Below are 26,239 nucleotides of genomic sequence, written 5' to 3'. Positions count from 1 at the left end.
CACTCGGTGGGGTGGCAATATGGCTGAGCCACCAACCCGTGGCACACCCATCCATCGTAGACAGTTCCTGGTTTGCTACCTGCCTTGGAAAAAGCTCCTCCCCTACCACCACTTTAAAACAGGCTAGCTCCAAAACTAGCCCTGGCATCTATTTACGGTCATTTTCTTATCTATTTACCTCCTAGAAAAATCATTGCAAGACCCTTTCCTCAACATTTTCCTATGCCTTAAATTTGGGGCAACACGTTTTAAGACGACCTCGTTATAGGCAAGTCCCCAGACGTTTCCTAATCTGAGTTGCCCAGAGTGCACACACCAATCTGTTGCCCCATTGCCGCTATAGGGATACCGTACTGGACCACAGTGTCTTTGACATGCACACAGTAGGATAGAGGGCAGCTTGAGGGGGCCAAAGGGTTCCGACTGTTTTCAGAATAATTTGCTTAGAACACCTGTTTCTCCTGTGTTTGTGGGTCAGGGGGACGGTAGTCAGAGGAGGACAAGACTCCCGCTCCAGAGCTTCAGAGGTCTGCATAGGAGCAGGGACAAAACCGGGCGATAGATTTTCAAAGCTCAACTGCTTTGACACCGAGCAGGAGGGGTAGAATGCATATTGCAGGCACCACAACAGATTCAGGAACTTTGACTGTCAAACCCTCTTCCCTGAAACAACATAGCTCTTCTCACAGAAGCTGTGCTGACCAGAGTCTATACGGGACAGCAATGTTAGCACTCTAGTAGCGTGTGGTCAACATGGATGCTCGTGTTGGAACTGTTTCATCTGGGAACAGGAAAGAAAGTTCTGCCTCCGACACTGAAATCCTCCTGCCCCATCCTTGACAGAGGCAACCCCTTGTCTTGTGCAGACACACGTGTTCCTGGGAAGCAGCCTCCCACTCGCGAATGAAAGCTGTATGTTTTGTCCTCCTGTGTGAGGCTTGCAAAACATATTCCGCAACTATATTCGCTTTACGTTCTAAACCTTAGGCAAACTATGCTGAAGAGGCCACAGAAAATTTAGGGGCCCTGGGCTCCAGATACAATCTGCAGTGCCAATCACGAGGGAGAACAGAGCCTCACTAGACTTTGCAAGAGCACAAAATGCACTCGTACTGTTGTTAGCTACATACGTTATTGGCTCCTCACCTAACACAGAATCTTGGAGAAAAGCTTAAAACAACTAAAGATGTAAACATCAACAAGAGTGTCCATATCCTGGGTCATCAAGTGACAAGAGAGTCCATGGATGGATTCTCCAACAATCTTATATTCCACTAATCCACCCCCTTTCCCCTCACTTCTGTAAGTTTCTGTTTTCCCTTAGTCATCTATGCCAAAAGCGTATCCTGAATGCCTTCCCACATGCCTCTGTCACCTTTCCCACAGTCCCTCCATACACCTTACATGCCCATTTCTTCTCACGTTGATGTTTTAGAAGTCCTGAGAGGCTGATTGTCCCAGAAAAGGATCATGCATTCACCTTTAAAAGAACATGTGGATTCAACACGAAAGCGAACTTTAAGATTTCCATCATCCTGTGCTTAGCTACTGTGTATGATGATACCCAAAATGAAGGATTTTGGAGGTCCCAGCAAACTGGGCCCTGGAAACCCAGTAACCCCATTCCTTGAACTATCTCTGCTTCCATAGGACGAAGTCAGCCTCCAACTAAGCTGTCTTTTGCTTTTACCTCTCCCACTCTGTCCTGTAGGAAGAATCCCAACACATCCCACACCCATTCACTCTACAACTTTAGAGGCCCAGCTCCAACGCAGACTGGTTATTTCCATGAAGAGAATAAAGCACGTGGATTGATCAATTCATTATGACACCCGAATAAAGTGGATAAACATACACACACACACACACACACACACAAACACAAAGACACACACACACACACAGACACAGAGTCACACATCCTTGAGAATGTTTATTTTTCATTCCATACAATCCACATTTACCCCCTCTTCCTGAATTTTTGTGACTCGATCTCTTTTTCCTTTAGTTCCTGTGCATAAGACCATGCTGAGTACTGCTGTCCTGCATATGGCTGTAACTTTTTAGGAGTTCTGCTGTATTAGGTAAAATCTGATGCTCCATCATATTCAACTCAACAACTGGGAGTCCCCTAGAGAAACACAAACTCATGTTAAAACGCATTTTCTCTGAGCCATACTTTGAAATGTTTCAATTGTGGGGCCCGCTGAGAAAAGGATATCCCTTCCCCATTTGTGATCCCTTAAACTTCCTCCTACCACGTGTTACAAACTGTTCTGCGCAATCCCTGCCCCATTCCCAGTATTGTCTGTGAGGGGAGTCAGCTAACAAGATGCACTGGGCCCTAAAAGCACACACAAGTCTGATGGGGCAACAGCTTAAGGAAATCCATCAATCTAAACAGTCCTTTGTGGTTTGGGGCAAGGATGACCAGGACGCACATTCAGGGAGCCCAATCTCATGGGGTTGGTGGGATGACTGCCGGTGGGGTTGACAGCCGTGGAATCAAGTGCCACAGACTGAACTGAATGATTTTCAGCTTTACTTCTCATTGATTCTGGAAATGGACGATTCTTCACTGGGCTTAAGACTCCACAGCTATCACCCGCTTTGCAGTGCAGTCTCTAACGTGCCTTTTCAGCCCAATGCCATGAACGTCCTGGATTCTGTCACTCTCTGTCTTCCTCTCAAGGAATTTCTACATGTACGAAAGGAGCCTCAATTTCTACATTTCTGAAATGAGCACCCAGGCTCCCTGAATAGGCAGGTGTGTCAACCCCCTTATACTGGGCATCAAACAGCTCCAGTGCCAACTAACGGCTCACCTGACGTCTCTGTTCCCTCTTCAGGTGGCTTCATCCTCTTGTAGTATTGCAGGGGATTGCGCCACAGGTCCTTACATAGGATCTGTCAGGGGACTCAATCGGGAAAGGCCTCATCAGGGCTCAGAAAGGTGACCCAAGCAGCTGGGAACACACGGGGTCATTCCTCATGTTTCCCAGTGAGGACTCACCTCAGCAATCTTGTTAGATCCTGCGAAGTTGTGGTCAGAGAACCAGTTGAAGAAGTTAAGGCTGCTGTTGTGGTGTCTGCGGCGATAGGCCTCCACTTCATAATCCGGATACCACTCAATTGGAGTGGAATGAGAAGCCCTGTATTCTACAGAGACAGGAGTTTTTGTGGGAAGGGGGCTGGATCCCGTTGGCAATGATCCACCCACCATCTTCCTTCCACTACCCATCCTGGGAGCCACCTGTCACCTGTGATGTTCACCAGATATTCCTTGGTAATCACTTTATTCTGGAAGTAGGGGTTACTCCGAAAGAACAACATGATCTTGCAGAGATGAACACGATGCTTCTCTTCTTCCACCTGTCAGGACAAGGTGGAGAAAGCTTAGATAGGTTTTCGGGTGAGGTGCTCACTCTTGCTTACAGGAATGAATTATTTCCCTTACCCTCCCCCGCTAAACCCTCCAGCCCCAGTCTTCCTGGCCTCACCTCCAGGCTGACCATGTAGCTCAGCATGTCTTCATCTTCGTCAGTGATCAGGGCTGACATCTGGGGGTGGTTTGCAATCTGATTTAGGTCAAAGAGACTTTAATGGAAGGGAAAGCGAGGAGCAACAGGGAAGAAGGCCTAAGAGCACCCAGAGGCTGGGGTAGGGGATTTCTCAGATCTGCTTCCATGTATGATCTCCTTTCGCCTCCCCGTCCCCGTAAACTAAGGCCTCCTGTGTTCACAGAGGGTGTATGATTCTGAGGCTGACTGCACTGACATGGGGAGGCGCGATTTGCAGAGACTTGCTGGTGTCTGAGGAGTGGCAGAATCTGCTTATAGCCGAAGACGCCCAGTCCCAGATCGGACTAGCAAGGGGCAGCAATCACACTCCCTTAAAAATAGCTTCATTCACTGAAAAACCTCTTCCGCTCTGAACTCGCTTCTGCTCTTCAAAAAGATGCCCCAAACGTCTGCTGCTCGGCATCACCAAGGGTTTCTCTGCCGCATGCAGGACAATAGTACCCACGCCTTCTCCGCCTTTCCACAGCCACATTGGTCCGTGGCAACTCCCCTTTGTTCCCCAAAGAGTCACATCGACGCCGAGCTGCCCATCGGTCACTTACACTTCCCCGAGAGCACCTCTCCACTAGAAAGGCCGAAGAAACACTGAGAAGGATACAACATTGGCCCAGAAGCCAGGGACGCTCTGGATGACGGCGCCTCTGCGGTCTAGGTGGGGCTTGCGCCTCCGCTCCATCTTTTCCCGCTGCCGAGAAAAGGCCTTCCTGGCTTGGGCATTAACCGGCTCCAGCTCCACCTGAACGGCCAGCAGCTCCTCCAGTGCAGACTCTGGGGTCATGGGCCCAGGGCCAGGCACAGCCTGCTGTGCCCGCTGGGCCTCCTCCCGCCGCTCCACGAGGCCCTCCTCCTCCGCCACCACCTCCACCTCCGCCATTATGTCATCCAACAGCAGCACCGCCTCCTCCCCCAAAGCCGCCTGCTCACTCTCCACCCCGGCCGCCCCCTCCTGCACAGCCTCCATCCTGAAGGCGGTGCCCTCCTTGGCACTCGCACACACCAAGGCCTGTGCTGCCCGACCCACGCCACAGGAACCCTGCCGCAGCCTCTCTGGCACCCGGTAGGTCAGCGAGCCCTCAGGGCGCATGCGCCGGGCTTCCAGGCGCCCCCTAAGGGACTGCGCGCGAAGAGCCGGGGGGCCGCACCCAGGCCGACTTCCTCCCGTCGTGGCCAATCAATGGAAGGGCGGTGGGCGTCTCCCTGGGCGGCACAGCCACTGGCGGGCCTGCATCTCCAGCCCCCCCACCCCCCGCCTTCCCTGCCCAAGCCTCCTCCGAGAAGCCCTTGGAACTTGTGCCGGGTAGCTAGGCGTCCGGGCACACGCGGGCTGCGTGGCCTTTGGAATTGTGGGCATGGCAGCCCTGTGCCCTGACATCCTCAGTGTGGCAAGCCATGAACATCTCTATGTGTCATGAACACAGGAAACATCTCTCTTCATTAGGCAGGCCAGGTAGATGGTACATAAGGAATATTGCAGATCCAGAGGAGAACTTTCTCTGGTTGCTGGGGCGAGGGCGGCGGGGGTGGCCTAGCAGAAGTGAGTCGGGGCGGGTATGTGGGAGGAAAGTCACCTGCTTGTGCAGAGGTGGAATTCGTCTGCACTGTAGGCTAGAACCCTGGCATGTACTCTCGCAGGTCGAGGCAAATACAGGCTCCGAGTACCATGCTTCCTCCCTGAGGATGCTGTACTCCAAGGAGCATTCCAAAGGGCCTCTAGTCCTGTGCCCTGGGCACACCAGAGGCCAGCCGCCAGGGTTGGCCATTGTCGGCCTGCGCGCACGCTGTTGTGCACTGCCTTGACGACCCAGAGGCTCCCGCACCCGCAGCAGCCGCTGCGGTGCCTGCTGGTGGGGCTCTGGAAGCACAGGGCCTCGGCCTCTGGCTTCTGAGCTCCTATGCGCAGTTGACCCTGCTGTGGTCCTGAGCCCCACGGCGAGTGCGGCCATCTGCGGGCCCAGCGGGGCTCCTCAGGAAACCTGGGTCCATGTAGGTGTGGGACTAGGTTTTCAGCAGGGAGAGGCCCGTGGGTCTTTCACGGAGCGGGCCTCTTGGGGAGCAGCCCCCAGAGCATAGGGATACCGGGGATGTGCTGGGCTGTGCAGGCCAGGGTCTGTGGGAGCACCCAGGAGGGCACCGTGTTCAGGCTGGAGGCTCTGCTGGAGAGGACGGCCGGGGTACAGAGCAAGGAGGCAGCCTTGGAAGAGGAGGCGGTGCTGAAGGTGGAAGACATAATGGCTGAGGTGGAGGTGGTGGTTGAGGAGGAGACTGACGTGGGGTGGCAGAAGGAGGGCCAGCGGGCACAGCTTGGCCCTGGACCCAGCACACCCAGGCCATCAATGGACTCGCTGGAGGTCCTTCACTTGGAGGTAGACTCCGTGAATGCCCCTGTGGCCTGGGCTTCTGGGACAGAGCCATATCCTTGCAGCTGCCGATTCCAGATGGCTGGCAGCAGGGGATGGGCATCGGGCTTCGTGGGGGCATGGGGGCTGTTGGGGGAGGAGCCAGGAGGAGGCACATGGGGTGAGCCAGGAGGCAGGGGATGGGGGACAGGATGGGAGCCGAGGTCACGTTCCTGCAGCTGTGAGGGCAGCTTGCTTGTAGCAGCACTGGGAGCACTGGGAGCACGTGGTAGGGAAGGGGAGCCGAGCACAGCACTCACAAGGGAGAATCGCGGCGCCAGAGTCCCTTCACGCACAGCACAATGTCAAAGGGCATGTTTCCCTGGGAATGTCCTGGAGGAAGGGGAGTCTGCATGACATTGCCAGCCATTGAATCACCCCCGCTCTCAGTGCCCGTTTCCAGAAGGCTCGCCCCAGAAACACAAGGTGCTTAAGACTCGGGTTAGCGGTACATGGGGCTGCCGACCTCCACAAGGCAGGTACTAGCTCCCCAGATATGCTTTCTTCTGCCTGCCGGCGCTGCACCCAAAGGGTTATAGCCCCTGAGCGTATATAACCTCCTTTGCACCCACCCAGTCCCCATGGGGAGCGCCAGGAACTACCCTGCAGCCCCTTCTAACTACAGGGCTTCCTCAGGCAGACAGGTCCACCCCTCAGGGAGACTAGGATAAGAAGACACCACACACCCGGACATCAGCAGAGCATGTCCAGCACCCAGCAAGCAAAGGCCTCCTGCAGCTCATGAACCCAGAGAAGCAGCCGCCTCACACCACCCTGCCCCCGCCCCTGCCCCTCAGCTGCAACCACCTGCCCACTTTTTCTGCCTCCCGTCTCTGGTCAGCCCAGGCCGTCTTGGCCGGGGTCCAGCCACCCCAAAAACCACCACAGTTGTGGCATTGCCTCCTCACCAGACAGAAACAGAGGATCAACATCGGAGCGTGACAGGCCAAATGTCTGGGAGATATCCCTGCTCCACATTCTCTGTGCTCTTGCAGAATTGCAGGCGTCAGGAGGCTTGCCCACTGAATCATCTGGAGACTCCTTGACCAGATGTAGATTGTTTGGCACACCAGATGTTGACCTGGGTTGGAAACCATGATGAAGTGATGGATTTGCAGGTCAGGCTGGGGAGCCTGGGTCTGTGGGAGGGGTCCAGTGTCTGAGTCAGTTTGAGGTCCCCCTGGGGTCCAGGGTTGTCTCAGTTGCAAAGCTGGGAATGGGAAATTCATGCTTCACTCCAGCTAGCAGGCCACCTCAGCCCAGCTAGATGAAATGGTCCCATTGAATCCATACTCTTTCTCCTTCTTGGTTAGGCAGGTGGAGGAACTCAGGCATCCCTGTTACCGGCAGCAAGATGAAGATTTCCTTTTGTCACAGCCTTTATTTCCACAATGAAGTGATCAGTAAGTAGTACTGCATTGGCATCCTCGGTAAGGAGTGCCTCCTAGCATGGTAGGGGAGCCGGTATGTGGGAGGGTAGGTCTAGGATGAACCTTCCTGACTCCTCTCCCTCCAGGGTACAGGGTATCTCATTCCACTGCAGTCCAGTTGTTCTGGGATCATGAAGGTCAAGCCTCCAGCTGCAGGCAGTACACCTCCTACCTGAGCTTTTTCACCTGTTTGGCTGAACATGACTGCCCGGGTTTTGGTAGGATTGCTGAGGTGAGGTTCACCATGGGGCATCATGGGAAAGGACCTCGCTGGGCATTCCTTGGTCTCTGGGGAATTGGCATTAAACTGTGACATGAACTGTCCTGGACCCACTTCTGCAGTCCCCTAGATCATCAGCCAGGGCCTATGGCTCAATCCATTGCAGTTCTATTCCATGGTGGGAGGGACAGCATTTTAGAGGGAACAGAGGCCAGGGAACAGCCTAGGGCTGGGAACTGAGAGGTCTTTCAGTCCTGGATCTGTGCCCCACAGGGAGAACCCAAGGATCATGCAGGAAACTGCAATGAGCAATCCCAGGCCATCCATTGGTTGGGGGAGAAAGGCCCATCGGTGAACTGCAACACCCACATTTCAGGATTGGGGAACCTTAAGCCACTACAATGCATATGTGACTAAGATCAGTGGGTGAGAAGCAGAGCTTAAGGGATAGCTGTCTCATCATCACTTGCCAGCTCCCTCCCTTGCCCTGAGACCTCCTACCACCTGAGACTCAGTTTGAGCTCATCCAGGACCCTCTCCCTCTCTACACAGATATCCACCTGAGGCCCATCTAAGTCTACATTCCTTCAGAATGTTTCTCCCAGGTCTGTCATGTTCTGTTTTGATGACCCCGGGCTGCCCTGATATGTTATCCTCTCTGCTATCCTCACTCCAACTGCCCTGCCTTCCCATATAAGACAGTCCACTTCACAGGGAATCTGGAGGAATGCACTGGGTTCCAGTGTGATGAAATGTTCTATTATCTCCATGTACATGTATTTTAGAGCTTCCTCCAGGACTGGAAATGTGAAGAGATTGCAAAATGGCTGGGGACCTTCAGTATGTGTCCAGGGAGGGAACCTGGCTGGGAATTAAGGCCCACCTGAGTAATGGTATGGACATCCAGTGTCAGTTATCTTGATAAAGACCTGCTTTGTTACATCACCTACTATTAATATAAAAGTTAATTTCTTAGAATATTGAAAAAACAAATTTAAGTGCAAAGAAAAATAATTTCTTCATAATTGTATGGAAAAACTGCAGAAGGATCCATTTTCCATTATAAATATTATGAGAGACTTGAAGTGTTTATCAAGTTTTAAGATATATTTTTATTGTTCTACTCCTGGCAATTGTTATGATCATTTTTGCAATACAGGGACATGGACTCTGGAAAGTTTTTGAGGGACTTTCAGCTTCTTTTAGAGTACTTAGTCGTAAATTTTGAATTTTTTTCCCCTGTGGTTCTTTTCACTTTACTATTTGTACTTTATATGCAAGGTGTTAATTGTGTTTTCTTATTTGCCTCTTCTGGAACTTTTGTTTTCAAGGATTTTCTTTTTCAGTTAGATATGTGAGTTTGCCTCTGAGCACTTTTTCTAGCATAGATTTTTTTTTTAAATTCATTAGTTTTTGGGGGGGTGTGTGTGTTTGTTTGTTTTCAGATGAAGTCTCGATCTGTCATCCAGGCTGAAGTTAAGTGGCAAAATCTCGTCTCACTGCAACATCTGCCTCCCAGCTTCAAACGATTCCCCTGCCTTAGCCTTCTGAGGAGCTGGGATTACAGGCACATGTCCTGCTAATTTTTCTATTTTTAGTAGAGACTGGTTTCACCGTATTTGCCAGACTGGTCTCATACTGCTGTGATCTGCCTGCACTGGCCTCCCAAAATGCTGGGCTTCCAGGTGTGAGCCACCACGCCCAGCCTCATTTGTTTGTTAATGTATTTTAATCATTATTATATTTTCTTCATGTACATGTATTTTATAATTATTGAAATAATGTATTATATTTACTTAATACTTTTGTAGGATTTTATATGTAATATTTTCGCTCACCAAATACAGTATTGTGTATAGGTTAACCTTGTATAGTATTGTCATTCTGTCTTTCATAAATTATTCAAGAACTCCAATACTGTTTTTCCCCAACCTGAGGAGAACATGCAGATAGTTATAAAAAATTGTGCGAGGGGGTAAGTATGAAAATATAATCTGAAAGAATAATCAAATTCACAAATAAATTTCACATTTGTATTTTGCATCATTTTGAAAATTTTATTTGCTGACACATGAAATTCTGTATTCACCTTCATGTTAAATATACACTTTTGAATCAATTTCAAGAATGAAAGCAATCCAAGGCCATGCATTAGTTCAGGAAGTAGAAAGCAGTTGTTATGTAGAAAAAGATCATATTTAATGAAGGTATATTTAGAGAGATCTTAGAAGGCTTAAGTCAATATTTTTGTTTTTGTTGTTTTGGTGTTTTATCATACTGTGACCAGACTGTAGCATCAATAGTTATAGTCACTAGGCTACCAAAGTCTCAGAGCTGCAGTAATTATTATTGAGGAAAGTGGCAGTGTGGTTGGCTCTTTAAGGAGAGTAGAGGACTTAGGAGTTTCCACCCAAGCCACAACGGCCTGATTTAGTGGGTGGCCTTCTTTTGCTGAAGCAGATAAGATACAGGAGAAGTGTGGACTCACTGTAGTAGCTAGGGCTTTGAGACTGGTAAAGCATATTTGTCCCCTAGTGCCATTGCCAGATATTGGTCTGCGCATAATGACATTTTCTGGACTCACTGACTCCTGTAAATTCAAACGTAGAATTTGGATTTAAATCCCTATTCCAACTTCTTAAACTTAGAATTAATAAGTGGGTGATAAAATATGTATTCAGAAGAAAGGCAGACATCAGATAAGTACATAAGTAAATCTTCCTGGTAAAATACCTTCAAAAGTGTTACTACAAAAAAATCACTGAAGAGCATACCTTAAACAAGTTATTTTACTTGGAGAAATAGAAAAATGTTGGAGTCGTTTTATATACAATGTCTAATTTGTTTGAAGAACAGCATACTATCTCTTTAGTATGGCTAGAGATTAATAACTCATGTAAGAAAACTCAGATTGACAATAAAATTTTTCAGAGATTTTGTTCTGTAATTAAAGACTTTTAAAATGGTTTCCTACTGATCAATGATTCACTTATATTTATCATTTAGGCATATGCTGTATACCCTTCTATACAGGGACAAAGTTATAGTTTCTATCATGTAGATAGAAAAGAATTTGACTGTGTACCACATTTGCATTAATGTCTTTGACCTGAGTAATGAAGCAAACAATGGAACTGTCTATGTCAGGTTACAGGTGGGCACAGCTGGAAGCTTCCATCACTTGTGCTTTAACATTTCTGCATTCTCATCAGTCTCTCCTGGAAAGAAAATGGACTATAACTATCCTAAAGAACATATGTTACATGTAGACACTAAGTATTGAGATAAAACCTTGATTTGTCTTATCACTGTCTCGTCATTACATTTGTATGTGTAACTTACACAGAGAAATTCAGTGTATTTTATCACCATTAAATTTTACATCACACATTTATATATTTTATTATCTTTCTATTGACCTTTATTTTTCTTGAGATGCAGTTCCACTTTGTCACTCAGTCTGGAATGCAGTGGCCTGCTCACAGCTCACTGCAACTTCAGCCTCTTGGGTTCAAGCAATTCTCCTGCCTCAGCCTCCTGAGTAGCTGGGATTACAGGCACACACCACCCCTCCTGGCTAATTTTGTATTTTTAGTAGAGATGGGTTTTCCCCATGTTGGTCAGACTGGTCTTAAACTCCTGACTTCAGGTGATTTACTGGCCTCAGCCTCCCAAAGTGCTGGGATTACAGGCATGAGCCACCATGCCAGCTCCCAAACCTTTTTTTGGACAAGTTCTTGCTTGGTCACCCAGGCTGGAGTGCATTGGCACCATCTTCACACACTGCAGCCTCAACCTCCTGGGCTCAAGCTATCTTCCTCTCTCAGCCTCCCAGGTAGCTGGGACTACATGTGTGCAACACCACATCAAGCTATTTGTTGTTGTTGTTGTTTAGTGATGAAGTCTTGCTCTATTGCCCAACTGGGTATCAAATTCCTGGGCCTAAAACATTCTCCTGGTTGAAGCTCCCAAAGTGCTGGAAATATAGGATTGAGCCACTGTGGACAACATTGTCATTCTTTAATCACTTTTTAAATGCCACTCTTCAAAAGTAACAAGTAAATTTTACTTAAGAAATTCCAAATGCCAAGTCAAGTTCAGCTTCATTTTCATAAAGAGGTAAAAAGAAAACAAATCAAAAAACCTTCTTTTTCCTTTGTTTTGAAGTTAGCAAAGAGTTGGAAAACCAATCATGTCTACTTTGGTTTATAAAATTGACTGTACAGAGAAAGATCCTCATATAAATGTTTTCAGATCTAAAATCTTGTGAAGTTATCATCAGAACCATCATCTTATAAAACAAAAACACATTTCCTAGTGGGTCTCTTGTGTGGATTAAACATCTTATTATTAGTAATGTATACAATTGTGATTACAGTTACTCCTTGAAACATAATATTAAAAATACAAATCTCATTTATTTTTTACAACTGCTACCCCAGTGAGAAAAAGTAACACTGACCTGGTGTAATAATTTGTGCCCCAGAGAGCCAGCCTTCTGGACTATTCAGATTCTTCAGACAGCCGGAGTGCTGAGAGCCGAATGGGAGTCTGGACATCTTGGAGGAGTAGCAATGCCAGGATATTTCTTGCTGCTCCACTCACCAACCAGAATCTCTCATGCAGCAGAATGGTAGACACCTTCACAACTCTCAGTTGTGCCCCAGGATGCCTCAGGCCCAGTATCACAGCAGTGTCTTCAGGACTCCTGTGTGCATAGGCAAAGATTTATTACAATACATTCATTAGAAAACCTGAACCTTAAACCTACATCAGGCTTTCTAGCATATTTCTTTATTTATGATACATAAGGTCCCTAGCTCATCTTCAGAGAAATCAGAAATCTATGGATAAAGAGTTCATAGACAAGGGGATTGCAGAGGAATTGACTAACAGAGGTACTAATAAGCCAAACACTGTGACAAAATTTCTTTTTAGCCTAAAACAAAAATGTTATCCATATAAGTGAGATGCTCATGTATTATAGAAGTGAATTAGGACAGAGAAACCTTCAGCAATGTACTTATGGGATCATAAATCATAGGATATGGGAAGAGGCAGGCACAAACTTACATGTTCCTGACACAGTGGGCAGCTATGAGAACCCATGAGCTGCTAACTATGGACCCGCTGTAGACCTGACTGCCACAGCTGATGATCCCAGCCTGCCAAGGCATGGCATATTGCAGAGAAATCTGATCTGCTGAAGCTGAGGAGAAAAATAAGCTAATTGTGCTAATTTGAATAGAATTGCCATCTGTAGATCTTTTTTTTTTTTTTTTTTTTGTGAGACGGAGCCTCACTCTGTTTCCCAGCCTGGAGTGCAGTGGCGTGCTCTCTGCTCAGTGCAAACTCCGCCTCCTGGGTTCCTGCCATTCTCCTGCCTCAGCCTCCTGAGTAGCTGGGATCACAGATGTCCATCACTGTGCCTGGCTAATTTTTTTTGTATTTTTTAGTAGAGACGGGGTTTCACCATGTTAGCCAGGATGGTCTCGATCTCCTGACCTCGGGATCCGCCCGCCTCAGCCTCCCAAAGTTCTGGGATTACAGGTGTGAGCCACCGCACCTGGCCCATTTTTTTAAGTTTTAAATCCCTCCTATTTGTGCTAACCAAATTAGCATTGTTAAATATGACCAGCAAAGACAAACTTCTACGTCTTTTGTGTTCATGCATTTTTCTTGAAAAGAAGTGTTCCTCTTACTATCTTTCTGAGTTCATAGTTTCTTTATGTCATAGCTTAAATTTCTTTAATCAAAATATTGGGAGTCATCCCAGCTTTCTCCCCCATTGCAACATTTATATATCCATGATTGTAGCTACCCAGAAATCACTGAAGTAGATAGGCAACAGAAAATGTAATGATTTGAATGTATTAATAAATAATGAAAAATTTGGAGATAAAGCACCTGTCTCTAAAATGGAGGGGGCTTTTCTTCCTAAACTTACAATTTTAGTGAGATATCAAACCAATAGTTTAAATAGAAAATTCAAGATTGAGGTTCAGGAAAGAGCTCATATTTTTAAAATTATTTTAGCGTTCCTCAGAAAACTGAGTTGAAGCAATGCTCGTTTATATATATATAGAGAGAGATAAAAATGTTGAAGATAACCTGTCTGTAGAAGGGGTAAGGAAGTATAGATGAAATTAGAAGCATAACTAAGATCTTAAGTGTAGTTGTCTTTGAGTTAGACTTTGGAGGATGTGAGCAAATAATTATGGCCTCTTTTATGTTTTAAGTGTATTATTCACTGTAACTATGGCGATAGGTGGTAGCTATAAAATAGCTGTGGCTAAGTGCACATTTAACTCATGAGACCAAAAGAGATCCCTCAATTTCTAAGGAAACAAGTAGAAGTACAGTAATGTGAAATAGCCATTGCTAATATTGTGATAGGTTTTCTGATAGCCAAAGGAAGGGGGAAACTGATAATAGCAACGTAACCCAATCTAGTACACCAGCACCTAAAACTCATTACTTACCAACTATTACACTGTTTCCAAACATCAAAATATCTTTAACTTAAAATATACTTAATTTAAAATAACTCTATTACAAATGCAAGCTACTGTGTGGTAGTAAAGAAATGTCTTTGTGTTAGGAGAGTGTGTCTTAATATTAGCCCTATTCATCTTTTGCCATGAGAAATCGATCAATCCATTCTACTTATCTAGTATCAGAATACACATTTAAGATAACTATAATAATCATGTTAAATGATCTCTATCATAATCTATAGGGATACTATGGAAATTGAATAATATATCAAGTATGAAATGCCTTTGTAAGCCATAAGGAAATAACTTCCATGATTTGGGAGATAAAATATTGTGCATTTTTCAGGAAGAGCTTTCTCTCCTCTCTCCTTCCATCTACTCTTTTCTATTTCAATTACCTTCTTCTTTGGCTTTGCCTACCAAGGTTTTGAGCCTTACTCTGAGGCTGTGGCAGAGAGATGAAGTGTGGCCAAATGGAAGTGGGAGTGGAGATAAAAGTCAAGGCATCTTTAGAAGCAGAGACTGAAAGGGACATGGAAGCAGAGGTAGTCATGGGCCCCTGGTGGTGCCAGGGTGCATGGCTAGGCCATGGCACTCCCAGGAGCCAGAAAGAAAAGGGTGCACTTGGCTGAAGACACACGGCTTTGTGCAATGCTCCTCAAAGTGACTCAAGATTCCCACTTGCACCCAAGTGTCCTTTTGCTGTAGATGGCATACGAAAGGTGCTCCCAAGTCACGCTGCAAGAAACAAAGATACAAGATATGAATCAATATTTTGAAGGAGGGCCAGAAGTAACTTTTAGTGTGCAAGATATTCCTCTTTCTTCCTGGCATTCATACCCCATGAATTTGTCCCCTTACAGCCAGCCTCCCCAACAGCTGTCTTGGCCTCTACACAAAAAGTGAATTCATTCAGCTTGGGGCACAATTGGGCACAAGGGCTGACTTGTTGGTTGCTCAGGTGCCCTTTTTGCAGAATTCCAGAACTTCCTGATAGAAAACACAGAAGAGGTGTTTGTGTTTGTTTGTTTTCAAATTTAGCCTAGATTAGAGGGGGAAGTATGGTGAAGAGAAATACAGTTTTTTTTTTTTATTATTCAAGAGAGGATACTATTCTCTTTCCAAACATGCTTCTCTTCCATCCCAGGGTCTTCTTCATTACTCAGCCCTCATAAGGGACCAGCTAGATAGCCAATAGTCATATAGTTGTGTAAATTTCTCCTGTTCCAGACTTTCCTCCAAGCATAGAGGAAACACCAGGGGTTGAAAATGTAGTGGCTGCTTCAGGAAGATCAACCCAGGTCCTAGAGGTCCCTTGGGAGCTAGGTAGGGTATGGCATGGTCAATGCTCACAGTCAGCTTGGGCAGATTCCAGAAGATGACTAAGCCCCACTTGGACTAGGGCCAGGGCTCCTGAGCTTTTTCTGGGGAAAAAAAATCAAGAAAAATCTTATTATTTCCACATTTCAATTTGAATGAAGCCCTGGAGGTCACATGAATCCAGATGAAGTCCAGGTAAGCACTAAAGTAGAAATACTTCTTTAGAAACTATTTTCGAGGATCATTTGAGACCAGGTGCACAATATGATAAGAGCTTATTTATGCCAAAATAAAAATAGCCAGATGCAGTGGTGTGTGCCTGTGGTCCCATGTACTCAGGAGGCAGAGGTGGGATAATCTCTTAATATTGGGAGTTTGAGGCTACTGTGAATCACGCCACTGCACTCCAGCCTGGGCAACAGAGTAAGACCTTGTTTCTATCTCTGTTTCTCTCTGTCTCTCTCACACACACAGACACACACAAATAAAGGGAAAGATATTCATTAACAATCTCCAGTTGTAATTGCTTTATAATGATATCTTAATCTTGAAATGAATTACTTAGATTTACATAAAATAGGCACATCTAGCTGTGGTAAGGATACACTGTTCATTTAGTATGGAGCCAGCACAGAAATGGGAGAAAGACAGTTGTAGAGAAACTGTCAAGGGAATTCAAGTCCCCAAAACCCCAGCTAAGCAGCGTGAAGAAGTAGAATAGCTGGGGGAATGGCGCAGCTTGCTGTTTTTTGGTGCTGGTTATGACCAAACCTTAGAAAAAGCATCATACTGTGATGAAATCAGCCACATAGACCAGTGGAACAGAAGAGAGAGCCCACATGTATTCAACTACTTTTTGACGAGGGCACAAAGGGAACACATGCACCAATTACTGAAGAGATTATCCTTTCCCCATTGACTGTCTAAACTTCATTTTTGTGTGGCCAAAATTTCCCTTACAGTCTTGAATCACTTAAGAAGAGAACCCAAATTATAATCAACAGTCTATCCAAAACCAAGTCTTTCCTCTTAAGGAGAGATTCAAATATAGAAACTACAGCTGGAATCATGTGAAACATTTATGGGGCCACCTCCTGTTGCTATTTTAAAAAATGGTATCACATAACTTGTGGAAAAAACAAAACTGTGGTGGCCAAACTGGGATACCTTTGAAATGCCTAAACTAATTTACTTGCATTCTCAATCCAAAAAAGGCTGGCTCCATATTAAACAGAATAATTGGGAGAGTTGTTTTCAGTGATATTTGGAAGTTTCCAAAAAGCATTCTAATAAAGTTATTTCTTTACAAAAGGAGGAACAAAAACTTGTCTAGAACAATTCGTGAGTTTAAAAAGGCTTTGAAAATTTCTCCTTATCCACTCTCAGCCTCTCCTTTTCTTAATCTGATAATATCTGAACTACCTGCCCAGATCTACTTCCTATGCCTCCTCCTGCTCCTAATGTTTTAGCTCCATTTCTTCAACAGCGTGTATCAGGTAGGGTAGAACCTGACCTAGAAGATCAATCATAGTCAACGGTAGAACTTAAAGAAATAATTAATAAACTACCTGATTCTCACCAGGACCCTGTTGGTTTTGCCAAGAAATTTAAATTATATACTTAAGTTTATGTCTCTGTTTCCACTTTGAGAAAAATAAAAATTATTTTAAATAGATAACTAACGCAAGCTCTTGTTGTGAGCACAAGCTCTTGCTGATGTGGATCCACACTATATGTAAGAAATTCCACCTTATGACAAGATTCCATTGCTCAGAGTAAACAAAAAATTTAAACGGTATGTGTCACAAATACTCCTGTATCAGCATACAAGTCTCAGCCACTAACTTTTCAACTAGGTGTCAAAGGACTCACATTTGCCTTCTGGTTATATTAGCCCCCCTCCATCTTACAGAAAGAGACTTCTAGGAATTATATAATACCCACATGCTTTTCTCCCAAAAAGGGAAAATTGAATTTAGAAAAAGATATAAAACTGTGTTACTAGACATAAAGAAGAGTTCAAAATAAAATTCAATTGCATTCCATGTTGCCATAGAAGACACTCAATTATTGAGCAATGAAAGATTATAAAACCTTCTAAAGGTAGTGCCTGATCAGTTATGATCAAAGTCTTCCAATGATATCGGAAGAATCATCTTTGCCACCCCAATCAGTGTTCAAATAGATCCATCAAAAACTCATTCAAATGTTAAACAACATCATTTGAGAACTTAAACACTAAAAGGGATCAAGCCTATAATTTCCTTATTTTTTTATTATTATTATTATTTTAATTCCAACTTTTCTTTTAGATTCAGGGGATACATGTACAGGTTTGTTACGTGAATATATTGCATGAGGCTGAGGTTTGGGGTAATAATGATCCTGTCACCAGATAGTAAGAATAGTATCCAATAGTTAGTTTTTGAACCTATGCCCCTCTCTTTTTCTCCCTTCCCGCTCTAGTGGTCTCCAGTGTCTATTGTTTCCATCTTTATGTCCATGAGTACCCAATGTTGAGCTCCCATTTATTAGTGAGAACTTGATATATTTGGTTTTTGTTCCTGCATTAATTCACTTCCAGCTGCATCCATGTTGCTGCAAAGGATATTATTTCATTCTGTCTTATGGTTGCATAGTATTCTATGGCATATTCCATGGTATATGTACCACATTTTCTTCAGCGAATCTACCACTGATGGAAACATAAGTTGATTCCATGTATTTGCTATTGTAAATAGTGCTGCAATAAGCATATGAGTGAATGTGTCTTTTTTACAGAATGATTTATTTTCCTTTAGGTATATACCCAGGAATGCAGTTGTGGGTTGAATGGTAGTTTTGTTTTTTTAAGTTCTTTGAAAAATCTCCACACTGCTTTCTACAGAGGCCAAACTAATTTACATTACCACCAACAGTGTATAAGCATTCTCTTTTCTCCATAGCTTCTCCAGCACCTGCTATTTTTTTTTTTTTTTACTTTTTACTAATAGCAATTCTGACTGGTGTGAGATGATATTGCATTGTGGTTTTGACTTGCATTTTTCTGATGATTAGTGATAAAGAGCATTTTTCATATGTTTATCAGACACTCACATGTCTTTTGAGAAATGTCTGTTCATGTTTTTTTGCCATTTTTTTCCTTCAAACTTTTAGGTTTAGGGGGTACGTGGGCAGGTTTGTGACATGGGTAAATTGTGTGTTGCTGGGGTTTGATGTAAAAATGATTTTGACACCCAGGTAGTGAGCATAGTACCCAGTAGGTAATTTTTTAGTCTTCACCCTCCTCCCACCCTCCACCTCCAAGAAAGCTGTGGAGTCTATTGTTCTCTTCTTAGTGCCCATGTGTACTCAGTGTTTAGCTCCCTCTTATAAGTGAGAACATGTAGTATTTGGTTTTCTGTTTCTACATTAATTCACTTAGAATAATAGCCTCCAGCTGCACTCAGGCATCCATGCTGCTGCAAGGACACAGTTTCATTCTTATTAATGCTTTGCCCATTTTAAATGGAATTATTTGTTATTTGCTTTTTAAATTGTTTAAATTCCTTATAGATTCTGAATATTAGACCTTTGTTAAATGCAATAGTTTGTTTACTCTGTTGGTATGGTCTTTTGCTGTGCAGAAGTTCTTTAGTTTAATTAGATCCCATTGGTTAATTTTTTTTTTCCATTTGTTGCAATTGCTTTTGGCCTCTTTGTCATGAAATCTTTGCCCACTCCTATGTGTAGAATGGTATTGACTAGGTTGTATTCCAGGGTTTTTATAGTTTTAGGTTTTATATTTAAGTATTTAATCCACCTTGAGTTGATTTTTGTATAATGTGTAAGGAAGAGGTCCAGTTTTGATCTTCTGCATATGGCTAGCCAGCTATCTTAGCACCATCTATTGAATTTGGAGTCCTTTATCCATTGCTTATTTTGTCAACTTTGTCAAAGATCAAATGGCTGTAGGCATACAGCTTTATTTCTGGGTTGTTTATTATGATCCACTGGCCTATGTGTCTGTTTTTGTACCAGTACCATGCTCTTTTGGTTACTGTAGACTTATAGCACAGTTTGAAGTTAAGTAATGTGAGGCCTCCAGCTTTGTCCTTTTTGCTTAGGATTGCTTTAGCTATCCAGGTTCTTTTTTTTTTTTTTTTTGATTCCACATGAAATTTAGAGAAGTTTTTTTTTCAATTCTGTGAAGAAATGACATTGGTAGTTTGATAGGAATAGCCTTCAAATTATACAAAAAGAAGACAGACTATTCTCTGTAAAGACCATGTAACACTCCAATCCTTCTTTGAGAAATCTCAAAACTGCTTTCTTCAGTGACAGAACTAATACACATTCCCAGCAACAGTGTATAAGCATTCTCTTTTCTCTAAGGATACCAGATGGTAGAGGATGGATGATTGTACAGAATCTGAGAGCAATTAAAAACATTGTTATTCCCCAACATCTAGAAATGCCAAATTCATATACATTGTCAGCTGCCATTCCAACTGAAGGTGAGTTCTTTACTATAATAGACTTATGTTATATATTCCTTAGTATTTCTATGAATAAAAATAGTTCATTTCTCTTTGTTTTCACTTTGGAAAACAGACAATACATGTGGACAGTCAAGCCTCAGTACTATACTAAGAGCCAAACTTTTTACAGATAGTAAAAGATCTCTCTCAGATATTGACTTTAAAAATGTATGTTAATACAATAGATAGATAATTTACTCCTCTGCTAAGAGGATAAGCAAGTCTCTATTGAAAATGAGATTCACTTGTTACAACAATTAGCCTTAAAGAGACACAAGGCTTCTAAAGGTAAACTTCAATTTTGTCAAAAAAACAAGTAAACTACTTAGGTTATCTAATATCCAAGGAAGGAATTTTTATTAATCCAGACAGACTAAAAGAGATCTTAGCTTTTCTACCACCAAGAACCAAGAAAGTGTTGAGAGGGTTTGGGGGAATGACAGGATATTTTAAAAAATGAATCCCAAGCTATGTCTTAAAATGCCAGCCCTTATATGCTGTCTTAAAACGAGACATACTAGACCCTCTAGATTGGACAAAAGATCAACTAACATTAGAAATGATAAAATATTACCTTGCTAATACCTCAGCTTTGGGGCATCCAAATTATAATTTTTCATTTTCATTATATATACGTGAAAGTAGTGCTAACACTTTTGAGGGTCCTAACTCAAATACATTGAGACCAAAATGAACCTGTTAGGGTATTATAGCCATCAGTTATACCCGGTGGCTATAGAGCTACCACCTTGTGGCACTGCCATAATAGTCACTGCTTTGTTGGTTAAGGCAACTGAAGAAATTGTAAAGGGGATATCCCATAGTATTTTCATCCCTCATTTTGTGAAATCATTGCTAACCTTCACCACACTCAACGTTATTCAGTTAGCAGATTAGCTTTATATGAAGTTTTACTTTTTTCAGCTTCTCATATCACCATCTCTAGGCATAAAAATCTAAGTCCTGCAGTTCTTCTGCCTTTACTTTCAGATGAAACACTGCACAATTGAATAACCTTAACTTTTCAACTTCTCTGTCCTACGAGAAGAGAGTCTCCTTAATTATGCTGATGTAGTTTGGTTTAAAGATGGATCTTAAAGGACGTATCTGGGACTTACCGTGCAAGCTACTCAATATTATCTTTAACTGAAAAAACAGAACGTGTTTAACTTCCAGAAGCCACCTCAGCTCCAAAAGCAGAATTAATTTTATTGATTAGGGCTTGTTGATTGTCAAAAAGAGTAACTGCTAATATCTATACAAACAGTAGATATGCTTTCAAAGTAGCTCATAATTATGGAATACAATGGGAACAGAGAGAATTTTTAGCCTCTTCTCGTCAATTCATAGAAAATGAGCAGACAATTTTACAATTGTTGGAAGACATATTATTCCCAAAATCGCTGGCCATAATTAAAATCTCAGGCCATTTGAAATCAGATACACCAGAAAGCAAAGGAAATTAGCTAGCTGATAAAGTAGCACAAAGCTGTTCTAAATGCATCTAAACAAACAAACAAACGAACGAACCAACAGAAAATAAAAAGAGATCTATATTAACTTTAAAAAAACTCTGAATTTAACATAAAATTAGCTCAATCCAGAGCTCCAATATTAGAACAGAAAAGTTGGAAAACAAAAAGGAAATATCTTCCCGCAAAGAAAAGGTATAGTATGGGCCAAACAATTTGCCTATACTTGCTGCTGAATTGCGGTTACCATTTTTAACCTATATACAAGACCTAACTCACTGGAGCCCTGACAAAACAATTGCTTGGGAAAAACAATATTTTTGGAAACTTCTTATAGCTCATAAGGTATGAAATTGCTATTACGTTTGTTAAAAATATAATCTAAGGAAATTACTACATAGCTCTCAAGGACATTTTCCTTCACCCAAGGCCCCTTTTCAGGCACAGCAATTAGATTTCACCCAGTTACCATCTTCGAAAAACATGCAAATATGCTCTGGTAATGATTTGCACATTTTCAGAATGGGTAGAGGCATTTTCACACAAAATAGCAAAAGGCTTGTTGGTGAGTAAAATTCACTTACAAAAAAATATTCCAACCTTGGGAGTTCTGGAAACTCATAGCAACAGTGGCACTCACTTCACTAGACAAATAATTCAATTGGTGTGTAAAATTTGGCCCATTCTCCAACATTTCCATTGTGTTTACCATCCCCTGTCATCTGGGTTAGTGGAACTGATGAACTGAATAATCAAAACTCAGTTCAAAAAATCAAATGAGGCTTTTAAATTCCTTGGCCAAAAGCTCTTCCATGGATTCTTCTTAGTCTGGGGTTGAACATTTTTGGCAAGCACCAGTTATCCCCATTCAAAATGATAAAAGGCAGATCTGTGAAATTGTCTCCAGGAAACTATGCCTTTAATAGCAAACGGAGACATGTTTAGCTGTTGTAATGGCCTTATGACACAATTATATACAAATTATAAATTAGTAAAATAACGTTTTCACTGTGAACTCCCAGAAAACAAAACTTCCAAGGACCATGGACTTCAACTAGGAGATTTTGTCTATTGGAAACAATATTTATTTAAAAAAAAAAACACCTCTCTTTTACCAAAGTGGTATGGACATTATCAGGTACTCCTTAACAACCCTTGCACTGCTACGTTAGAAGGCATAAATTCATGGATTCATATGTATTATCTAAAGAAGGTTGAGACTTCTGATTTCACTGTTTCTCCAGAAGGTGACCTCCAACTTTGAATTAACTTGACACCAGGCTGAGAAAAAGATGGCATGTGATACAGACAGCTAAAACTCAAAACTGTGGACCAGGCTTGTAGCTAAATAAATGTTTAATACTAAAAATTGTTAAGAGATACAGAAGATTTTCTTTTATAAGCGCTCACTAAAATTATTTTTATCCTTAGTCCTTATGTCCTGGTACTACTACCACAAGCTGTTGCCCATGAAGAAAACCTCTTTTTGCAATGATTCCCAAACTATGCTGACAGATTACACAAAAATTCTTGCTGTATATGTGGCCTCATGCTCCAGTCCAGTGGTTCTGGCCTACCATGGTGGGTATCACTCCTCCAAGGACAAGACTGAATACAGTATAAAAATTTTATTCGTTCATCACAAAAATAGTCTGGCAACCTTAACTCTAGTATGACTAAGGATACTGTATATTATTGCCCTATGAGTTATACTTTACTAAATAAGGGACATAAGAAGAGCTTCTTGGTAGAAGAAAACTGGCTCACTATCTTTTGCTGTGGCACTGCCCCAGCTAAAAGAGAAGAAAATAATGATACCCCAATCAAAAACTCAATTTCAGGATGGTATAATACACATTTCATATGGGTTTATTTGGCTCACCTCCTGTTTTGGCTAGCCTTGTCAAAATGTACCTTAATTTGGGGAACAGAAAAATCACACCAAAGATAAATAGCCCAACTGAACATAGAGATATAGGATGCATACCCAAAGAATGGTATATCTGCATCATTTTATTACAAAGTACTGATTGGCATGCCACTAATTAGACATAATAACTGATTATTTATTGGTTAGCAGATATAGGATGGATACCCAAATAATGATTTATCCACATCATTGTGTTACAAAATACTGATTGGCATGCCACTGTATTACAAGTACTGATTACAAAGTACAGATTGGCAAATAACTGATTATTTATTGATTAGCTCCAAATAAAACATCTTGGCTATGTGGCACTAATCTATAACTATGGTTACCCACAGGATGGTTAGGATGATATTCACTAGGTTATGCTTGGGCACAGGGTTGAGTAGTTCACACCTCATTACTTGTCTTTCAGCTACAGCCTCTGCCCAAGGGAGCCCCACAGACTGGAACACCTAATACCCCAGAGAGCTTGGTGCAGAAGGCTTAGGGCAAAAGTAGATGATTGGGCCAGTTACTGGGGAAGCCACTGGAAGGAGACCCAGTCAAAGGAGAATGATCTAGGCGGTCCCTATAGCTGTCTTATGGGCAAAAATCCTTGGGATGCTTGTGCCATACCGGTGGCACACCCACAGCAACACTGCCCTGCCTGAAGATCCCCTGCTCTTGATCTACTGCATGAACAGACCACACACAGGCATACCCCACAACCCACTCTGATTCTGCCAAGCACAGAGGATCAGTGGGCCTCCAGCATTCTGTAGATCTCCTGGTGAACTAACCTTCACCTTGAGCCGACCCTAAAGGAGAGGAAAGTGCAGCCTGGCAGGGCCCCCTTTGGGGCTAAGGAATTACAGGCAGGGTGACAGTGATTGGAGAGGGGTCCCCTAAGGCCTGGGAATGGACCTGGCAGGGGAGTCATCTCTCCTCCCATCCCCCATATCTCTCCCCACATAGAACAGCTGTGAATGCGCTAAAATACAAAAGAGGCATGTCATTAAGAGCCTATCTGCTGGACATTACTCTTAGGTGTCATCTACTGGATTGCAGGTCTACTAGATTGCAGCCTGCACTACATCAATAACAACAACAAAAAAGATTTCTTCCAGTATACCTTGCCTGTGAAACCCAACGCAGGAATTTAGCCACAAATAAAGATCCTATGCAGAGTCTTGGCCCTCTGAAAGCACCCAGAAGTGAAGCCAATAGACCATTCTCAACTTACGCCAAAGTCAAACTCAGGGAAATAAAGTAGATAAAAACAAAAAGCCCCATCCAAAAGACAGCAATTCAAAATGATAAAGGAATGCCAGCACTTTCAGATGAGAAAGAATCAGCCTGAGAACAATGCCAATTTAAAAAGTCAGGGTCCTCTTACCTCCAAATGATGGTACTAACTCCCTAGAAATAGTTCTTAACCTAATTGAAATGACATCCATAGAATTTAGAATCTAGATGGCAAGGAAGACATTCAGGAGAAAGTTGAAACCTGATATGGTTTGGATATTTTGTCCTCTCCAAATCTCATGTTGACATGTGACCTCCAATATTGGAGGTGAATCTAGTTAAAGGTTTTGGGTCATGGGGGCAGATCCCTCATGAATGGCTTGGTACTTTTCTCACAATAATGAGTATGTTCTCACTCTGAGTTCACACAATATCTAGTTGGTTAAAAGATTATAGCACAGAAAGACAAAAATAACATGTTCTCACTTATTTGTGGTATCTTAAAACAATTGAACTCATAGACAGAGAGAGTAGAAGGATAGGTACCAGAGGCTGGGAAGTGTGGTGGGGTTTTGATGGGAAGGTGGGGATTGTTAATGGGTACAAAAAATAGTTAGAAAGAATGAATAAGATCTGCTATTCTATTTGATAGCCTAATAGGATGACTATAGTCAATAACTTAATTGTATATTTTAAAATAACTTAAAGAATGTAATTGAATTGTTACTCATAGGATAAATGCTTGAGGGGATGGCTACCTCATTCTCCATGACATGCTTATTTCACATTGCATGCCTTTATCAAAATATCTCATGTACCCCATAAGTATATATACCTACTATGTACTCACAATTTAAAAAAATAATAATTTTTAAAAAATTGTTTAGCACTTACTCCCACCCCCCCCCCCCACACACACACCATGTTATACAGCAGCTCCTCCTTTGCCTTCTACTATGATAGAAAGCTTCCTGAGGCCCTCACCATTAGCAGATGCTGGTGCCATGCATTCCTGTACAGCCTTCAGAATCATGAGCCAAAATAAATCTCTTTTCTCTATAAATTACCCAGTCTCAGGTACTTCTTTATAACAATGCAAATGAGTTCATACAAAAACAAATGGTAATGGGAAGTGGGGCATTGCTACAAAGATAATACAATATATGGAATCAGCTTTGGAACTTGGTAGCTGGCAGAGGTTGGAAGCATTTGGAGAACTCAGAAGAAGACAAGAAGATGTAGGGAATAGTTTGAAACTTCTTAGAGGATTGTTAAGTGGTTGTAACCAAAATGCTGGTAGAAATATGGACAGTGAAGCCAGGCTGACAAGAACTGTGACAGAAATGAGAAAGTTTTTGAGACTAGAGTAAAGATCACTCATATTATGCCCAAGCAAAAAAAAAAAAAAAAAAAAAAAAAAAAAAAAAAAAAAAGCCTGCATTAAGCTCATGTCCTAGGGTTCTCTGGAAGTTTAAACTTAAGAGTAATGACTTAAAGTATCTGGAAGAATACATTTCTAAGCAGTAAAGTATTCAAGACATGACCTGGCTGCCTCTAACAGCCAATGATCAGATAAGGGAGTAAAGGAATGACTTAAAGTGGGAACTTATATTTGAAAGGAAAGAAGAGCATAAAAGTTTTAAAAA

The 26,239-nt window shown here is 42.7% G+C and overlaps 1 protein-coding gene and 1 long non-coding RNA gene across 5 annotated transcripts; one reads left to right on the top strand and one right to left on the bottom strand.

Annotated features, from left to right (window-relative positions):
• Positions 1 to 1,915: 1,915 nt before the first annotated feature.
• TSPY2 (testis specific protein Y-linked 2) lies at positions 1,916 to 4,711 on the bottom strand. 4 transcript variants are annotated; one of them, XR_001756004.2, is made up of 6 exons: positions 4,180 to 4,711; positions 3,501 to 3,578; positions 3,261 to 3,372; positions 3,014 to 3,152; positions 2,826 to 2,918; positions 1,916 to 2,131 (listed from the first exon to the last, which is right to left on the bottom strand). XR_001756004.2 is itself a non-coding variant. In XM_005262569.5 (6 exons), the coding sequence occupies exons 1-5, from the start codon at positions 4,663 to 4,665 to the stop codon at positions 2,856 to 2,858; spliced, it is 885 nt and encodes a 294-aa protein (XP_005262626.1). In that variant the 5' UTR covers positions 4,666 to 4,711; the 3' UTR covers positions 1,916 to 2,131; positions 2,826 to 2,855. The 4 variants fall into 4 exon arrangements, 3 of the variants coding, with proteins under 3 accessions (XP_005262626.1, NP_072095.2, XP_016885551.1); XM_005262569.5 differs by having other exon boundaries at positions 3,014 to 3,159; NM_022573.4 differs by having other exon boundaries at positions 2,826 to 2,907; positions 3,014 to 3,159.
• Positions 4,712 to 7,323: 2,612 nt separating this feature from the next.
• Positions 7,324 to 8,488, top strand: TTTY23B (testis expressed transcript, Y-linked 23B). Its single transcript, NR_003593.1, has 3 exons — positions 7,324 to 7,380; positions 7,494 to 7,639; positions 8,180 to 8,488. It is a non-coding gene; the product is annotated as a testis expressed transcript, Y-linked 23B (long non-coding RNA).
• Positions 8,489 to 26,239: the final 17,751 nt, after the last annotated feature.

The sequence above is a fragment of the Homo sapiens genome, chromosome Y (genome assembly GCF_000001405.40).
Source record: "Homo sapiens chromosome Y, GRCh38.p14 Primary Assembly".
Taxonomy (NCBI): domain Eukaryota; kingdom Metazoa; phylum Chordata; class Mammalia; order Primates; family Hominidae; genus Homo; species Homo sapiens.
This window is presented reverse-complemented; position numbering and strand designations above follow the sequence as displayed.